This window comes from Homo sapiens, chromosome 1 (genome assembly GCF_000001405.40).
Source record: "Homo sapiens chromosome 1, GRCh38.p14 Primary Assembly".
NCBI classification, from domain to species: Eukaryota; Metazoa; Chordata; class Mammalia; order Primates; family Hominidae; genus Homo; species Homo sapiens.
The window spans coordinates 71,787,811-71,806,710 of NC_000001.11; the positions used below are offsets into that span (position 1 = coordinate 71,787,811).

Sequence of the window (18,900 nt, forward strand, 5' to 3'; positions counted from 1 at the left end):
TTGCCATCTTTGCCTCACATCTTGGCAAGGCCTTCAGACTATTTTGGCTTTGAAAGACACAAGGAATCCATTTTCACATTACGTTGTTTGTTTTCTTATAAAAGTTGTACATTATCACACTAATGTGTGGTTTCTCACCTGTCAAAAACTAACCATGATTAGATTTACAGAGTAACTGCCTTAGAAAGGCCTAGAGTCTTGCCTTAGAAAACATTCTGAGAATGGGTTTCATCCAGAAACTTAATGATAAAACCATGATTCATGTTAATATTCTGCTTCCAAAAAATAATTATCATCTATATTTTTTAACGTCCATGTTACCTTATCTACTTTTCTCAAAGAGAACCTTTATTTTTTTAAAAAAATATTACAAACAAAGGTTATCATGCAGCTATGTGCCAAGAGATAGCAGAGTCCTATGGTTACATGTGCCAGTTCTCTCTGAAATTGGATTGGATTAAAAGATAACTTGCCATGTGTTGGCTCCTAGATCATTAGTCACAGTGGTCTAAGTGCATTCTCTTATAATTCAATATCAAAGAAATTGCTTTTGTGACATTAACTATATTATATTCAAAAGTATATAAATTATTGAAATGCTATGCCTACTGCCAAGATATAAGACAGTTCACATGGAAAAAAAAAGTTGTGTTTTAAATTATTCATTAGAAAAAAATGCAGTCTCTTGACAGAAATTGTTTTATACTGGGGCTAGCTTCTGGGACTTATATTTAAATATAAATCACAAAAACTCAAATTTTCAGATATTCTTAATTCTCTTTAACGCCTTGATTTCCAGCAAGAGGATTAAATATTATATATTGCCTTAGATCTACAGTTAGATACGTACTGTATTGAATACAAGCATGTGTGTGTGTGTGTGTGTGTCTTGTAACATCAGTATGTGCCTTTGTTTATACTGAGATATGGTAACAGTGGGGAAAGTCTAATTATAGGAAGGCTACTCTCAAAAGATCTCTCTCTTACAGATTTATATATTATTCATTTGGTTAGAAAATGTTTGTCATTTGCTATGCACTAGGGACTGACATAGGTGCTGTTGATTTAACATGTAATAAAAGAGTTGTTTTCCAGTAGCTTATATATTATGGAAGAAAATAAACATTAAAATAGATTAAAAATACAATTATATCAAGTTATATGAGAAACATATACATAAAATATGTATACCTTAAGGAAAATTCACCCAGCTCAGATAAAGATAGAAGGATGGCAAAGGCGATACCAAGATATTTTTTGGAATATGTTGTAGCCGTCTAAATAGACAAATGTGTTCCAGGTCGAGTTATACACATATGGAGGCTGGACAAGATGAGGACCCTATCACAGACTCTGTATTCATCCCTGTGGCTGTAACTGAACTACTTAGCTAGTCACACCTAAAATTATTTCCTTTATTCACTTTCAAGACATAAACAAATGTCTCTTTTTGTAGATATTTCTGGAGAAGCCAGATGAATGCAAGAACTATTTTATATTGATCCCTGAGTAATTTACAAGATCATAATTAGTACACAGTAAGTGCTCAGAATGTGTTTAATGGGAATATTTTAGTCAGTTCTAAATGTTCCTTGTTTAGAGATTTAGTCTTTAACACATTCATTTACAAAGTCATTCTCCTTCATATTAATTACTACATTCCAAGGAACAGAAATACTTTGCCACTTCTCCCTTTTGGCTTAAAATATTAATATATTGAAAGTGAACTAGTCTCTTGGGTGTTACATAAGGAACACTAACATGCTTTAGCTTCTCTCAAGTACTAAGTGTATAAAATATTTTCATATCCCAGATAAAAAATATCATGTATTTTTACTTTTGTTTTCTTGATGCTATCAGATTCTGTTTTTAAAAACTTAAAAAATGTGGTTAAGACTGAAAAGTGTAATTCCTTGGGCATTCGTGCTCTGGAGCTACCTCTCCAACCTGCTGAACTTTCTTGTTTTGAACACTCCAGTCTCGTCACTTGATAAATCCACCAAAAATAAGCCAAACCAACCCCTTCTTCTTTCTGAAAGGTGGAAAATCCAAATATGCTACCTGGTAAAAGTTAGCTCTTTTATTCTGTATTTTTGCATACACCTAACTATCATTAAAACCTTTTATTCACGGCTACTACTGTAGTGGAAGGATGGAAAAGTATAAACTATATCTAAATATTTGGATTTTAAGGGTTGAGAGGAATAAACATCAAGGATTAGCTATGCCAAAATAACCCAATTTACCTTTTGAGTAGGTCAACTACTTACGAAGAAAGAAAATTCTATGAACATATTGAGTGTGTATGTAGATTTCAGGAGCCGTTTGACAATTGTTGACAGTTTAAGCAATAAAATAGAGTTGTGTGGACAAGTTGCTCACATAGCCTGACAGAGACCTAACTGGTCATGCCACTACAACTTGTATTGGTGGTAGATTCATGTCTATATGGAAGCAGAATGTCAGCAGTGCTCAATAATAATCTGTATTTGGCTGTTTTGTTTTCTGAATTTTAAGCAACTTGGATGTATCTCTGGGAGACACATTTAATGATAAAACTATACCGGAGGTCAGGTGTTCAGTTTCAGTCGTTACAACATGCTAGTAACACACAGATGTTATTTTGCCATTAGACGCCAGACAGAATAGTAAAGTGCATACATGCAGTACTACGTTAGGACACTGATGACGGAACCAGGAGTGTTTACATAAATATAAAAAATGCAAGGAAGGAGAAGAGTATTTGCATTTGCTTGTGAATTTGTTCTCAGTTGATCTAGTAGAAAAAAGTATGGTAGAATTCAGGTGATTATAATAAAGTATCCTAAACAAGAAGTATCCTAACAATAAAAAACTATTTTATGAGAATACAAGCTCCCTGTCATCACATGGTTTCCAGAGACTATGGAAGACCAGTGGGATTAGAAATGGGATTACTACACTGAGTGAATGCTTGAGTCAAATAATACTGTTAGGATTTTTCAACTGTGCATTCTTTGAGTATTTGCTGCACTACATACCTTTGTATATGAGGAAGTAAACTCAAGGAAAATGCCATTAAAGGGCCTGGCTATTAGCAACTGAAAAATGAGATCTGAGGGAGGTTAAGTGATGAACAAAAATCATTTGTTGTTCGGGACTGGCGATAGGACTGGTAGACAACTGGGGAAGAGGAGGAGAAAAATAAGAGGGGAGGCAACAAAAATGTAGATAAAATGAACAAGCCCATTAGAGGAGAGAAATGGAATTTCTTCTTACATTTCACATATAGTTTTTCCCTTTCTTACAGCATTTTTAAACAAAACTGTATAAATAGAAAGTATGCACTGACAAACAATGTCAATATCAGGTGCACTTGTGGAAGGTAAATGTTGGATTTTCAGGAATTTTGTGAGTTGAATTTTAAGCATATTCATTATTAAAATTAAATAATATTAAAGTTAAATTATACTAAAAGCAAAAATTTTAAAAACTCAAAATGTATCACTTTCTCAATATTTTATTACATTTTACTGTCGTGTGTTATCTTGGGTTACTTACATGTATTGAATCTATATGGTAGAAATGGTCTGCTACTGCATATCTCTCCTCAACTTTGTATTTAGTGATATCAATCTGAACGTGGCCACAGTGGCAGTGTTTAGAGCATGGAAATTGGCAAATGCTATAAATTATGGCTTTTTTAAAAAAATATTTATCAGTAGCCTGCCTACCAACTTTTACCTATATATAAGATACATTTAAAGTTATTCATTTCATAAATACTGTAATATTTCATAATAATAGAATATTTCATAGTGTTCCCATCAGATATTGAGATCATGAAGAGGAATCAAAGGCATGCTCTTGCCCTTAAAAAGTCTAGAATGTAGTTAAGAGAGAAAATGAGAACATTAGTAACTGTAAAGTGGAACACCCTAAGAGTCATAAGAAAGATTCAGAGAAAAAGATCACGGTACTTTAGGTGAGAAAATGACTAACTTTAATTGGAAGTAGGTAGAGGAAGGGCAGGTGGAGAGGAGAATCAGAAAAGATTTGATGAGAAGAAATTTGAGCTTGGCTTTGAATAATGGAACAAATTTGGACTTGGGAGGATGAACAGAGAATTGTGAGATCAGCATTTGGAAATAAACAGTTAGTAAACATACAGGACATATTTGCCGATCAGGCAGTTTAGCTTTACAGCTCAACTTGGTAGAAACAAGATTAAAATGTTAGGATGAGAATAAATTATAGAGGACTTTGAGTTAAAACATTGCTAAAATAATGGACGCAAAAACAAACATGTTGTAAATGGCTAGTGTATTCCTTCTGAGGGCCTGAAGTTTCACAGGCCCAAATAAGTTTTTGTTTAATTCTTGGAATGGAAAGAACGTTTGATTAATATCTTTGTGGGAGGGAAAAAAGAGACTACTGTTTGCTATTTGAAAACTCCATGGCTGGTTGTATGTTGGTTTCTCCCCCTATGATATGAATATCCTATCAAGTGTTTCTACCTAAGCAAATTTTTGTGAGTTTGCATTTATAGAAGTCACAGTGTATGCATCCAGATTGATGTGTTAGTATAAATAGATGGAAATATGTTTCTCAGTTGATGAGTAACGTAAGAGCCCTTCTCATCCTGTTTCACCAAACAGCTAAACCCACACACTTTCTTCCACACTTCCTCTTTTTTTCCCACATTTATCTCTGTATTGTTTTTCATTTCCAGAGATAGGATGACCACCTGCCTTTCCAACATATTGCAAAAACAACAGTGACTATGGTTGATTTTTTCTAGTCAGTTATTTTATTGAAAAATAAAATGTACCAAATGGCAGCAGAGTCACCAGCTGATGAGAAGGTTTTTTATGTATATAACATGGTGCTTTTGATAGGGAGTTGGCAATACTGTGCTAGGATTTTAATATCAAACTGTTTCCATCAGGCTGGAAGCTGTAACACTCAAATGGTACCTTCAGGAACTAAGCTGTATGCTTGTTACTATAAGGTACTTTTTGAAAGGGGGCATTAAACAAAATTTATAGAAGAAAAAAGAACTTTTCTTTTGTAGTAGAGAAATATCTTATTTCTTTCTAGGTGTTGCAAGGCAGCTAATTGATTACCAAGTTCATTTTCCTCTTCTTGGCAGACAACTAAATTATGATTCCCAGATAAAGTTACTTATGCTTGAGTTTTAAGCAATGGAATGTGAGGAGAAGTGATGTGTGCTCTTTCCAGGATTGGCTCACATAAACCTCCCAGGAGTGATCCTCCTTGCTGTTTCCTTAGAAATTGGAAATCACATATTGAAGATGGCATAAATGAAAAGTAGAATAGAACTAGTCTCTAGAGAATATGGGCTGCCTGTAGGAACAATTGATTGGGATGTTCTTTTTTTTTTTTTTTTAGATGGAATCTTGCTCTGTCGCCCAGGCTGGAGTGCAGTGGCACGATCTTGGCTCACTGAAACCATATATATATATATATTTGTATTTTTAGTAGAGACAGGGGTTTCACGATATTGGCCAGGTTGGTCTTGAACTCCCGACCTTGTGATCTGCCCGCCTCGGCCTCCCAAAGTGCTGGGATTACAGGCATGAGCCACCACGCCCGGCCTGGGATGGTCTATCAGCAACAAATAAATAACAGGCCTACACAGTTTTATAAAAGATATCTACCAATATTTAAAGAACTAATTTTCATGTTATATAGCCTACTCAAGAGAAGATTCAAGATACAAAATTTAACAAAAATAAAATGAGGAAAATATTGCCAATTCATTTCATGAAACTGACATAATGTGACATTAAATATAGGCAATGACTGTACAAGAAAAGCAATTTCACTTATAAACACAGAAAATTTTTAATTGCAACATTGGATTCATCAAGTGAATCCAGTAATATATATAAAAATTTTGCCTAAGCAAGTGTTCTTATGTTAGGAATGAGGAAATTATTTAACAGCTTATAAATTTAATACATCAATACAGATTTAAGGATATGTATATATATATAATCATGTCAATAGATATAGAAAAAGCATTATATAAAAATACTATAATTTATAACAAAAAGTTGCAATCTAGGGATAGTTTCTTTCAAAATGTGACTAAAAAGATACAACAAAATTCACAATGCTCATTATCTGTAATTGTGAAATGTGAGGCATATTTCATTAAAACTGAAACAAGGTAAGGAAGCCCAGTTTTTCTATTTCACATTATAGTAGAGTTCCTAATCAGTTCAATAAGATTTAGAAATAAGTTAAAAGGATAAGTATTCAAAGCAAAGGTGCAAACAAGTCATTGCTAATAGATAACTTGTCTTTGTAGAATATTCAAGAGAAGATACATGCTATTGGAATTGATAAGATAATTCAACTGGATTACAGAAAATATGTTAACTCTTCCCCCCTTAAATCTATAAATGTGATACAATTACATTAAATTCCATTTTATTTACAGAATTAAAAAATTCATCCTATCACTCATATTGAAGAGTAAAGGACCAAGAGTAGCCAAGAACAATCCTAACTAAGAAAAATAAAAGAGAATAACTTATCCTTTCAAATTCTCAATGCTAATTATAAAATGCCGGGAAAAAATACAGCCTAGAATAAAACTGGCACACACAAAACTCACAGCACTCACAGAACAGACACACACAGGTTTTGAATATGATAGCGGAGTATTACAAATCAGTGTAGAAAGATTCAATCAATGGTGCTAGGCAATTGTCTACCCTGTGGGGAAAAAAAAACAATACAAATGAATTTGGACCTCATGCCATGTACATAAATAAGTTATGCATAGATTAAAAGTCCAAATATTAAAATCAAAATTTTAAAATATTTTAATAATATAGAATTACTTTATAGCATTGAAGTTGGAAAAAGAGTAAGATGTAAAACACAAGCCAGATGAAAAAGATTGGTAAATGTGACTATCTTAAATGTAAACAGGTAAACTTTGGTATATGTGAGATACCATAAACTGATTTAAATAAAGCCACATTGCAGGAAGCATTCCCAGAGAATTTAAACAAACAAACAAAAGATTAGTATTCTGAATATATAAATAATTTCAACAAGTCAAAATGTTAAAAAAGGTCTACTAATAGAAAAATGGATAAAGAATATGAATGCACAATTTTAAAAAGGGGAAACTTTAATGGCCAATTATTTGAATTACTTGACAAGAAGTGCACCTTCACTTTTAGGCAGAAAAATTTAAATTAAAATGTCACAACTTGAAATTCATAATATTGGTGACACTTAAAAAATTAGGTAATACCAAGTTGATGAGAAAATGAAAAATCACACACTGCTGAAAACAATATAAATCTGCAAATAATTTGAAAACAAATAAAACTGAAGATACACATATATCACTACAATTTCATTTCTAAGTATTTGAATGCCCTAGAGGAAATACTTAGAAATGAAATTGTAGAGATTTGAAAGTGTAGTCCTGAATCACCTGGGAGCTTTTTACAAATACAGATACTCCCAGATTAACTAAATAAAAAGCTGCAACTTAACAAGATCTGTAGATAATTTATATCTACATTAAAGTTTGAGAAGCATTGCCCTGGACTAAAACAGTGGTTCTCAATATTGAATGCACATTAGGACCATCTGAGATGTTCTCAAAATATATCAATTCATGGGCCCCACTCCTGAAAAACTTGAATTGCCATCTATACTCAAGAAATTCCCAAATGATCCATTTCATTGTTTATCCATGGAATCTCTGTACTAGAGAAAATCTCATATATGCACAAGGAAATACATGAAAGATTATACAGTTTCCAAAAGCAAAAATCTGAACAAATCCCAATTGACCGTGTGTTTATAAAATGTTACGTTGTATAATATAATCTTCAACTGCAGACAAAATGAGTTAACTGGGTCCCTGTGTATCAATATGAACTATTCTGAAAAACAAAATGCTGAGTGCAAAAAGCCAGTTGGGAAAGAATTGTGCAGTATGAAATTATGATACCATTTATGAAAATATATGTCAATTCTGTAAATTATTATTTAGAAACTAAAAGTCCAATCCTTTAGGAAGGGAGCAGTGTTTTGTTTAAAATATACTGTGAAATACAGAGCTTCTACAATTTAGACCAGGCTGAACTTTGGGGATCATTTCAAAGGCCTCATTTGGTCCCAGAGAAGTGGTGCATTTCTGGGTGTACATGTAGGTCACAGATTAGTCAACCTTATGGTCATTAAAATCTAGCTTTTGCAGCAATGCTGATGCTAATGTTGCTCTCCTAACTGGATATTAACATAGTTCTATATTCTAATTTTTAACATTCAGTTGACCTGAATTCTCATCCAATCTCCTGACCTCTCTACCACCACACATATTCATACAATTTTCCTTCCAAGCATACAGAAGCCCTCTGTGTGTACTTTCCACTCCCATCTCAGGAGGCACTACAGAGCCTGGGTCATGTTTCAGCCTGTGCAAAATGAGTCCTATTTACATACCTGGGCTGGAAGAGTACCAGGTGTGTTTGAGAAAAAGATACTCTGTTAATGTGCAGCACTATCATCAACTAGGTTTTGTGTGTGTGTAATTTTGGAGGTAGTGATAGACAAAGTCATTTCTCTCTTTAGAAAAAATAATCGAGAAACAGGTTTTGATTTTGTGCATTTTCATCAAATTCAAATAATCTAGAAAAATGGAGTGAGATCAAAAGCTACAAGAAAGGCTCAAGCGAGCTGGATGCGGCATAGCCTGTGGTGACCAAGGTTTTTTGTTTTGTTTTGTTTTGTTTTGTCACAGTGAAGAATGACATACAATTAAGTGAAATAATTTTTCAAAGTGAATTCTGCAGCAAAAACTCCTTTTTAATTTTATCCATCAGAAAGTTTGCAAATGCCTATCATCTACAGGTATTATGCTCCCTTAAGGCAGGAGTCATACTTCTTTACAATCTCTTTAGAGAGCCAGGGGTATAGATGTACAAAAAGACATCACAAAAGAAGTAAGTAAATTGCTTAGTACCAAATAAGGGGACACAAATTCACTTCCGGAGGAGTTGAGAGAAGGAAGTTGGCCTGGAGTGCTCAGAAAGACTTTTTAAAAGTTGTAGGTTTTATATAGGGGCCTGATAAAGATTACTAGGGGCTTAACGGTAGGGACTATGGGTTGGTCATTTTTACAGCACATATTTACATAATTGAAACTCATTAAATATTTGCAGATGGTGAGAGACAGGATTTGTATCATTAAAGAGGAGAAGGACTTCAGACAAGCTAGTATTGCTTGCAGAAAGACAGACGGGAATGCCAAAGGAGAGCAGGAAATATTTCTCGAATACTTAATATGTGTGAAACACTGTGCTACATACTTTATATCCATTACCTCATTTAGTAATGTGCCTCGCAGTACCACACAGTCATGCTATGAATTAGGAATTATTAACCTAATTCTAAGAGAAGAAAAATCTGAGACCAAACTGATCATAAGCGGCAAGACTGGGTCTCAACCCAATACTGTTTTTCACTAAACCTTGTATTTAGTATATTAAACATGCTGCTTGCTCACAAGGATCTAAGCTATTGAGTCATGGTAAGAAGATTCAAAATGAAAATATCCAATATGAAATCTAAGGCCACAGAATTTGCAGTTAGGCTGCCTTGAAACTCTGGTGCTTACTATTTGTTTAACATTGAACAAGTGACTTAAATTTTATGATCCTCTATTTCCTTCTGTAAAATTTGGATAATTAGAGAAAATACATCAAAGTGATTTAGAGGAAAATGTATAAGATAATAAATGTACAGAAATAGAACACTACCTGACATAAATTATGTATTTGATAAATGTAGGCTTTATAGAACTAACATTAAATGCTGTTGGATTGAAGAGCTTAAGCAGTCTTTCCTGTTTTCTTTTTTTAAGTTTCAGAATGGCTCTGAATAATGTATACATTATACATTAATTTATTTAGTTGTCTTTGTTTCCTTCTAAATAACATTCTCTGAGCACTGACTCTTCTTCCATGGTTAGGTAGACTGCACCATTAACTTAGTCATAAATTTTCTATTTGTGCAGATCATTTTTATCGAATATCTTTAGAAAAAACAGAGTTTATATTGTTTAACCTGCATCACTATAGTATCTAGTTGCAGAAAGTACTCAACTATAAAATCTGTATGTTTTTGTCATAGGTATCATTCCTTGCCATTGAAAACATTTATGATTCTTTAACATTGGCCAACAGATGGCAGATATTAAAGGACACAAAGAGCCAAATATTCTTACCCTTCCAGACTGGATACTCTCTCCTCATACAAGATAAACAGAGCACAGCCAGGTGAGAGAACGTGCTGTAGAGAAGCCAGCCCCCTGAAGCTATGACTGGCTTTTCAAGAGTATCACTGATCCAGACCATTTAGAGAGTAATATCAGACTCGGTGGAGCAGAGAGTCCCTACATTTAGCCTAAAGACAAACAGCAACTGAAAAAAATACAGAAAAAGTCTTCAGGAGAAAGTTCACGGTGAATATCCTCTTAACTGAGAAATAAAAGATACAGAGGTTAAACATAAAAAAATGACTAAAGAGTAAGCAAAGAAAGTATATAAAAAAGAAAGATGACAAAGCTAAGACATTAGGTGACAATAAAAATTACAATTGCATGTAATAAAAGAACAGGATAAATAATAACTAGCATTAATTATATCTTCACTGTGCACCAAGAACTATTCTAACTATTTATGCATATTAAAGAATTACATCTTCACAATATTTATGTGAAACATTTTCACTCCTATTTTGCTGATGGGGCGACTAAGGCTAATTCATTAACTTGCTCAGATCACTTAATTGTTAACTAGGAGATCTAGGATTCAAACTGAGCTGATCTGAGTCTGAAACCTAATATTTTTTTTCCTCCAAGGCTATGCAGGCAGAAAACAAAAACAGTAGAGCTTTATAAGACAAATCTTGGATTGAAGAGAAACATATTTCGTGGAGAAACCTTAGCTCCTCACAGAGCTGAGTAAGAGTGTTGATACCTTATCCCAATAATCCCTTTAATCCCCTATTTTGTGAGTGCACCTATGAATGCATTCAAAGACTGGGGTGTAAACAGTTTATATAAGTAGCCGAAGGTACTATATTAAGACAGTTATCACTCTGCATTATTAAAATTATATCCTCACTTATCTGCCTTTTTAGACTGTGAGCCTTGAGCCTTTTGAGGGTAGGGGAAAAGATCTTGTATTGAATGGTGTTTTTTTTTTTTTATTATACTAAGTTCTGGGATACATGTGCAGAACATGCAGGTTTATTACATAGGTATACATGTGCCATGGTGGTTTGCTGCACCCATCAACCCGTCATCTACATTAGGTAGTTCTACTAATGCTATCCCTCCCCTAGCACTCCACCCCCTGACAGGCCCCAGTGTGTGATATTCACCTCCCTGTGTCCATGTATTCTCATTGTTCAACTCCCACTTATGAGGGAGACCACACGGTGTTTGGTTTTCTGTTCCTGTATTAGTCTGCTGAGAATGATGGTTTCCAGCTTCATCCATGTTCCTGCAAAGGACATGAACTCATTCTTTTTTATGGCTAAATAGTATTTCATGGTGTATACGTGCCACATTTTCTTTATCCAGTCTAACATTGTTGGGCATTTGGGTTGGTTCCAAGTCTTTGCTAGTGTGAACAGTGTTACAGTAAACATAGGTGAGCATGTGTCTTTTTGGTGGAATGATTTATAATCCTTTGGGTATATACCCAGTAATGGGATTGCTGGATCAAATGGTATTTCTGGTTCTAGATCCTTGAGAAATTGCCACACTGCCTTCCACAATGGCTGAAATAACTTACACTCCCACCAACAGTATAAAAGTGTTCTTATTTCTCCACATCCTCTCCAGCATCTGTTGTCTCCTGACTTTTTTTTTTTTGAGATGGAGTCTGGCTCTGTCACCCAGGCTGGAGTGCAGAGGCACGATCTTGGCTCACTGCAACCTCCACGTCCTGGGTTCAAGCAATTCTCTTGCCTCAGCCTCCTGAGTAGCTGGGACTACAGGAGCATGCCACCATGCCTGGCTAATTTTTTGTATTTTTAGTAGAGACGGGGTTTCACCGTATTAGCCAGAATGGTCTCGATCTCCTGTCCTCGTGATCTGCCTACCTTGGCTTCCCAAAGTGCTGGGATTACATGTGTGAGCCACTGCACCCGGCTGTTTCCTGACTTTTTAATGATCGCCATTGTAATTGGCATGAGATGGTACCCCATTGTGGTTTTGATTTGCATTTCTCTAACGACCAGTGATGATGAGCTTTTTTCATATGTTTGTTGGCTGCATAAATGTCTTCTTTTGAGAAGTGTCTGTTCATATCCTTTGCCCACTTTTTGATGGGATTGTTTGTTTTTTTCTTGTAAATTTGTTTAAGTTCTCTGCAGATTCTGGATATTAGCCCTTTGTCAGATGGATAGATTGCAAAATTTTTCTCCCATTCTTTAGGTTGTCTGTTCACTCTCATGATAGTTTCTTTTGCTGTACAGAAGCTCTTTAGTTTAATTAGCTCCCATTTGTCAATTTTGGCTTTTGTTGCCACTGCTATTGGTGTTTCGATCATGAAGTCTTTGCCCATGCCTATGTCCTGAATGGTATTGCCTAGGTTTTCCTCTAGGGTTTGTATGGTTTTAGTTCTTAAGTTTATTATTTGCAAAATTCCTGACATACTGTAGGTGCTCAAAAATCCTAGTTTGTCCCTCTCCCTATCCCTTTTCCTTATCCCTGTAACATACTGTTCATGTCCTCATATTCCACTTTCAATCAAAATTATTTGCTTTCTTTCCACATGGTAGCCTCTGTGTGCTTATGCTTTGCCTTCTTTGTTAAGAGAGGACTGTGTTCCCATCCAGCCTCATCCCTCCACTTGAGCACTAAGTCCATTCACTTTAACTACTCGAGGGCTTCATTTCACTAATCCTCCCATTCTCTCCCACATCATCCAGTGTTTTACCTTAATTAGATCATTCCCATAGCATGTGTTATAGTTCTTCAATCTTTAAGAAAAAATAAACAGAAACAGAAAAACAACAAAAAACCTCTTGAGCAATCTTTTCTGTTTACTGCCTCATTTTACAATAAAATGCCTCAAAATAGTGTTTGTAGTCATCATATAATTTTCTCTTGATTTCTTTCTAATTACACTTTCACCACTACTACTTCCCTGCAACTACCTTCTTTCCTACCACCCTACAACGATGCACATTACTTAACCCAGTGACAGGTTCTCAGCTCTCATCTTACTTAGTATATTACTCAACGTTTAGAATAATTGATCACTTTGTTCCCCTTGAAACATTTTCTCTGCTTTTCTGGACATCACACTCTCCTGGTTTTCTACTAACCTTTACTGGCCTCTCTTTGCCAGTCAGCTCTGATGGTTTTTTCCTCCTATCTCACTAGTCTCCTGATGTTAGAGCATCTCAAGCATAGATTGTTGGACCTCCTTTTATCTACATTACTGCTTTAGTGAGTCCATCACATTTTATGGTTTGAAATACCAACTAAAAAGTCAAGAACTCTTCCCTGAATTGTAGACACAGATCTCCCTCATTTCTTTCCCTTGGGTTCAAGATTAGATGTACAATTCTCTGTTCAGTATCTTCACATGGTTGTCTAGTACATATCTCAACATGTCTAATGAAAACTCTTGTTATTTCCACTCAAACTATCTATCATGCCAGCCTTTCTTATCTCAGTTAATCATAACTAGTTTTTCCAATTTGCTCAAACCAAAATCCTTGAAATCACCCTTGGTTTCCCTCTTATTCTCACACTCCACATATATTATCAGAAAATCTATTTGCCTCTAACTTTAGAGCCTCCTAACTTCATCTGCTATTGTCCATGTCCCAGGCAATCAGTTCTCAACACAGAAGTCATAGTAATTCTAATAAAATCAATCAGATTGCATTGCATTTCGCCCAAACACTCCAATAGTTTCTTATCTGTTATGTACTGCATTCTGTTGTTAGCAGAAATAAGGACATTAAAGGTGATACTGATGAGGGTTCTGAAAGAAAAGAGGAAGACAGTAGTGCAAGCTATTATTGTTTTAGAGAACATATATATCGTTACCATAATGTTAGTAGAAATATGAACACTAAAGGTGCTCTGGTAGGGTCTCAGCTGAAAATGAGGAACATGTTATCAGAGACTGAAAGAAAAACTGTTCATGCTATGAAGTGGCAAATACTTGGCTGAATTGTGTTCTAGTGATCTGTGGAAGGTAGAGCTTAAAAATAATAAACTTAGATATTTAGCTGAAAAGATTTCTAAGCTAAGTGTTGAAGGTGCAGCTTGGGTTTTCCTTACTGCTTAAGATAAAATGAGAAAGGAGAGAAATAAAGAGAAGAAGAAATTATTAACAGAAAAAAACCAGAACTTAAAGATTTAGAGAATTATCAGTTTATACATACTGCAAAAAAATGAGAAAGTATGTTCTGGAAGGGACAACAAAGATATGGCTGAACAAGTACTCCATAAAGAGATTGCCCATGGATTTAATCAGCTATGTCTCCAGTGGCCAGCACAGGAAAATAGAGCTATTCATATGTGATCATGCTTTATCCTACAAAAAAAGAAAGTATGACCTTGAAGGTAATTCAGACATCATCAGAGCTCCCACTTGCACCATAGGCCCAGAGCATGCATGCCCAGGAAGGCAGATTATTTACTTCTCAGAGAGGGTGGGGCCACCTCCTAGATTTCAGTAGCCAAACTGCCCCTTAAAGAGTCATGGGGGCAGGATAATGCTTAAGGCTATGGAAGGGATGCTGCTGCCTTATTGGGCCTGGAGAGCAGAGCATCTGGCCAAAGAGGAGTATTCTTAAGCCTTAAGATCTAATAAAATGCCTTGATAGGTTTTAGAATGGCTTGGGACTCATCATGTCTTTCTTCTTTCTGATTTCTCTCTCTTGGAATGGGAATGTTTATCTTATTTCTAATCCACTGTTGTAATTTTAACACACATAACAAGTCTTGTTTCACAGGTTCATAGCTGGCAAGGAACTTTGCCTCAGGAAGAGGCATACCTCTTGACTCACCTATATTCTATTTAGATGATATTTAGATGAGACTTTGGACTTGAAATTTATGCCAAAATGGGTTAAGACTTTTGGTGCTCTTAGCATGTGGTGAATGTATTGTAAGTGAGGACATGAATTTGGGGAAATGGGGCAGAGGTGAGAATTTTATAGGCCAAATTGTGTTCCCCCAAATTTATATGTTGAAATCCTAACCTCCAATGTCAGTTTAAGGGTTTGTAGACAGGGCCTTTAAGGAGGTAACTAACGTTAAATGAGGTCATCTTGGTTGGCCCCTAATCTAATATGACTGATGTCCTTATAGTAAGAGGCAGAGACATCAGAGCTGTCTTTCTTTCTGCATACACACCAAAAAATGGCCATGTGAGGACACAACCAGAATGTGGCTATATATGAGTCAGGAAGAAAGATACCACCAGAAACCATCCCTAATAGCATCTTGATCATGAAGTCCTATAAAAATAACTATCTTTAGTTAAGTCACTCAGTCTTTGGTATTCTGTTATGGTAGCTCAAGCAGAATAATATACCATCACACTCAGAGCCAGGGGTATAGTCTGTCCAATGGCTAACAGTGACCTTCCTCTCTACATCCTGTTGCTTTTCCAATATAATCTATTACTATTTTTCTACCAGCTCCATTGGTTCCTTGCTCTCTGACATTTCCGTGGCTCAGGGGCTATAACTTGTGGTTTCATTTATCTGGACTCTCCCTTCAGATATATGCATAGCTTTTTCCTTGTACTTCTTTTAATTATTTGTCCAAATATAACCTTGTCAAAAATTATTTCCTTGAACATTCTGTTTACAAATTTTACCTTTCTACCTTCCTTGATAAAAAAAAGTCTTCATAGAACATACCACCTTCTGACGTATTACATAAATTACTTATATGTTTTGTTTCTTGTCCCTTCTTACTAAAACCAAAGTTCCTTGAATAGAAATTTTTGTTGATCTTGGTCATTGTTCACTTCAGTGCCTAGAATAGATTCTGTCAGATAATAAATGTTTAATAAGCATTTGTTAAATTAATGGAAATGTATTTATATTTTCTTCTCTGCTAGTCAAAGAATAATGACCTTCATATTTGTACTTCTAAGGCCTATATGGTAAATATAAAATATTTAATACTTTCATTAAATATTTTTATTAAATATGAATAGAATAATAACAAAATAATAAATCAAGGTTGATAACAGGGAGAGGAATCAGGAGTCTAGTATACAACCCTACCATTTCATTTCTGATATTTATATAAAGTTGGTATTCTATGTAATATTTGGAGATGATTGCTAGGAATATGACAGTTATCTTAGGCTGTGTTTGTTTTTTCATGTTTTATAAAGTTGATAATAAACAGCAATAACAGGTCCTGTTGCCAAGCTTCCCAACTAATGTGAATGTTGCAAGGTGAATTAATTAGTAAGAACAGATGTCATGCATGCAGTGCAGTTCTAAGGGATCTGCTGGCCATGGTCCAGTAGCTGGCCTCATAGCACAGTGTAAGTACAGACTGCATACGTAGACACCAGCCAGTTTAGGTTCACATGTGGAATCACAGTGTTGTGGGAAGTCAGGGACCCCGAATGGAGGAACTGGCTGAAGCCATGGCAGAAGAACATAAATTGTGAAGATTTCATGGACATTTATTAGTTCCCCAAATTAATACTTTTATAATTTCTTATGCCTATCTTTACTGCAATCTCTGAACATAAATTGTGAAGATTTCATGGACACTTATCACTTCCCCAGTCAATACCCTTGTGATTTCCTATGCCTGTCTTTACTTTAATCTCTTAATCCCATCATCTTTGTAAACTGAGGAGGATGTATGTTGCCTCAGGACCCTGTGATGATTGCATTAACTGCACAAATTGTTTGTAGAGCATGTGTGTTTGAACAATATGAAATCTGGGCACCTTGAAAAAAGAACAGGATAACAGCAATGATAAGGGAACAAGAGAGATAACCTTAAACTCTGACTGCCAGTGAGCCAGGTGGAACACAGCCATATTTCTCTTCTTTCAAAAGCAAATGGGAGAAATATCGCTGAATTCTTTTTCTCAGCAAGGAACATCCCTGAGAAGGAGAATGCATCCCTGAGGGTAGGCCTCTAAAATGGCTGCTTTGGGGGTGGCTGTCTTTTACAGTCGCAGCTGTAGGGATGAAATAAGCTCCAGTCTCCCTTAGCGCTCCCAGGCTTATTAGGATGAGGAAATTCCCGCATAATAAATTTTGGTCAGACCAGTTGTCTGCTCTCAAACCCTGTCTGCTGATAAGATGTTATTAATGACAATGCGTGCCCAAAACTTCATTAGCAATTTTAATTTCGCCCCATCCTGTGGTCCTGTGATCTTGCCCTGCCTCCATTTACCTTGTGATATCTTATTACCTTGTGAAGCATGTGATCTCTGTGACCTACATCCTATTTGTACACTCCCTCCCCTTTTGAAATCACTAATAAAAACTTGCTGGTTTTACGGCTCAGGGGGCATCACGGAACCTGCCGACATGTGATGTCTCCCCCGGACACCCAGTTTTAAAATTTCTCTCTTTTGTACTCTTTCCCTTTATTTCTCAGACCAGCCGACACTTAGGGAAAATAGATAAGAACCTACGTGAAACATCGGGGCTGAATTTCGCCCGATATCACAGAGATGTCTTTGCACTGTTTTTGAATATCACTTTCAAGGATAGTAACACACCAACATAATTTTAGAGATAATTGGAATGTTGTATTTAGCTAGATATTTCATTGCAAGCTCATTACAGTTTGCAAACAATATTTACAATTTCTCTTATTTCTTTTGTTAAATGCTTAACTACTTGCCTGCTGTAATGTAAAATAGCAAAGAATTGAAATGCATGTGCACCTGGTTTATTTGAATAGCAAATTTTTATTCATGTTCTCAGTAATAGGCAGAAGAAAAGCAAACAGAAATTAAGTGGTTAATGAAAAAATAATGACTATGGCAAATTTGCTTTTGCAAACTGCTTAAGTTCTCATTATCCAAATAAAAATGATTGAAAATAATCTCAATATGAAGTAAGGATTTCAATCTATTAACTTTCTTAAAATTCAGTGTGTGCAAAACATCTGCCACAAATTTACCAAGAAATTTCCATTATTATTTCTAAAATTAAGTAATATCTAACTCAAGAATCTGAATATTGCAGTGGGCAATAAATACAAAAATACAAAATATTATGAAAAACCATGTCACAATAAACAAAACCTTTGCTTTTTCCATTGGACAGGTTAGTTCCCTGACCAATACCTTTTTAATCAACTGTTGATTTGGTCTGGCCAAGAAGATATATTAAAGTTATATTAAATTTTTTAAGAAAATATACTATAAAATATTAAAAATTCTAGCTCCTGAAGTTAAGCACCATGTGAATTTTTACAATCATCTTAAAGTTCTGTCTTTCATACTGTAGTTGGAATCCCTATGATTTAGGGCTTAAAATGGTTAAAGTGTAAAGCCCTATGATAACAAAGATTTTTAATACTGTAGTATAAAAAGTATCAAATGAGTGTGTAGGTCTATAAAAAGTAAGAAATAATTTCAACTCAAAATCCTTTTGAAAATTCCTCCTACCCACTATTGTAAAAAAAAAAATCTAGCATGTATTTTTCTTTCTTTACCTACAGGTTCCTGATGTCAGTGCCATAAACTGGTTCAGGAAATTGTTATAATATAGGCAAAACTTCATACTAATGAAGAAATTATTATTTTCCCAAAACTGTGGTAAGCTATTTGTATACATTATTCCATCAAATACTCACAATGGCCCTATAAGGCAATAATCTTATTC

At 35.1% G+C, this 18,900-nt stretch overlaps 1 protein-coding gene and 1 long non-coding RNA gene across 5 annotated transcripts in view; both read right to left on the reverse strand.

The window, feature by feature from the left end:
* The window catches only part of NEGR1 (neuronal growth regulator 1), an 886,597-nt gene that overhangs the window by 391,868 nt on the left and 475,829 nt on the right, over window positions 1-18,900 (reverse strand). The window lies entirely within an intron of this gene.
* Window positions 6,422-18,900, reverse strand: part of NEGR1-IT1 (NEGR1 intronic transcript 1) — a 42,781-nt gene continuing 30,302 nt past the window's right edge. The window contains exons 2-3 of the long non-coding RNA NR_046218.1: window positions 10,265-10,460; window positions 6,422-6,726 (exon numbers count right to left, since the gene is read on the reverse strand). This is a non-coding gene — a long non-coding RNA (NEGR1 intronic transcript 1). The remainder of the gene's footprint in view (window positions 6,727-10,264; window positions 10,461-18,900) is intronic.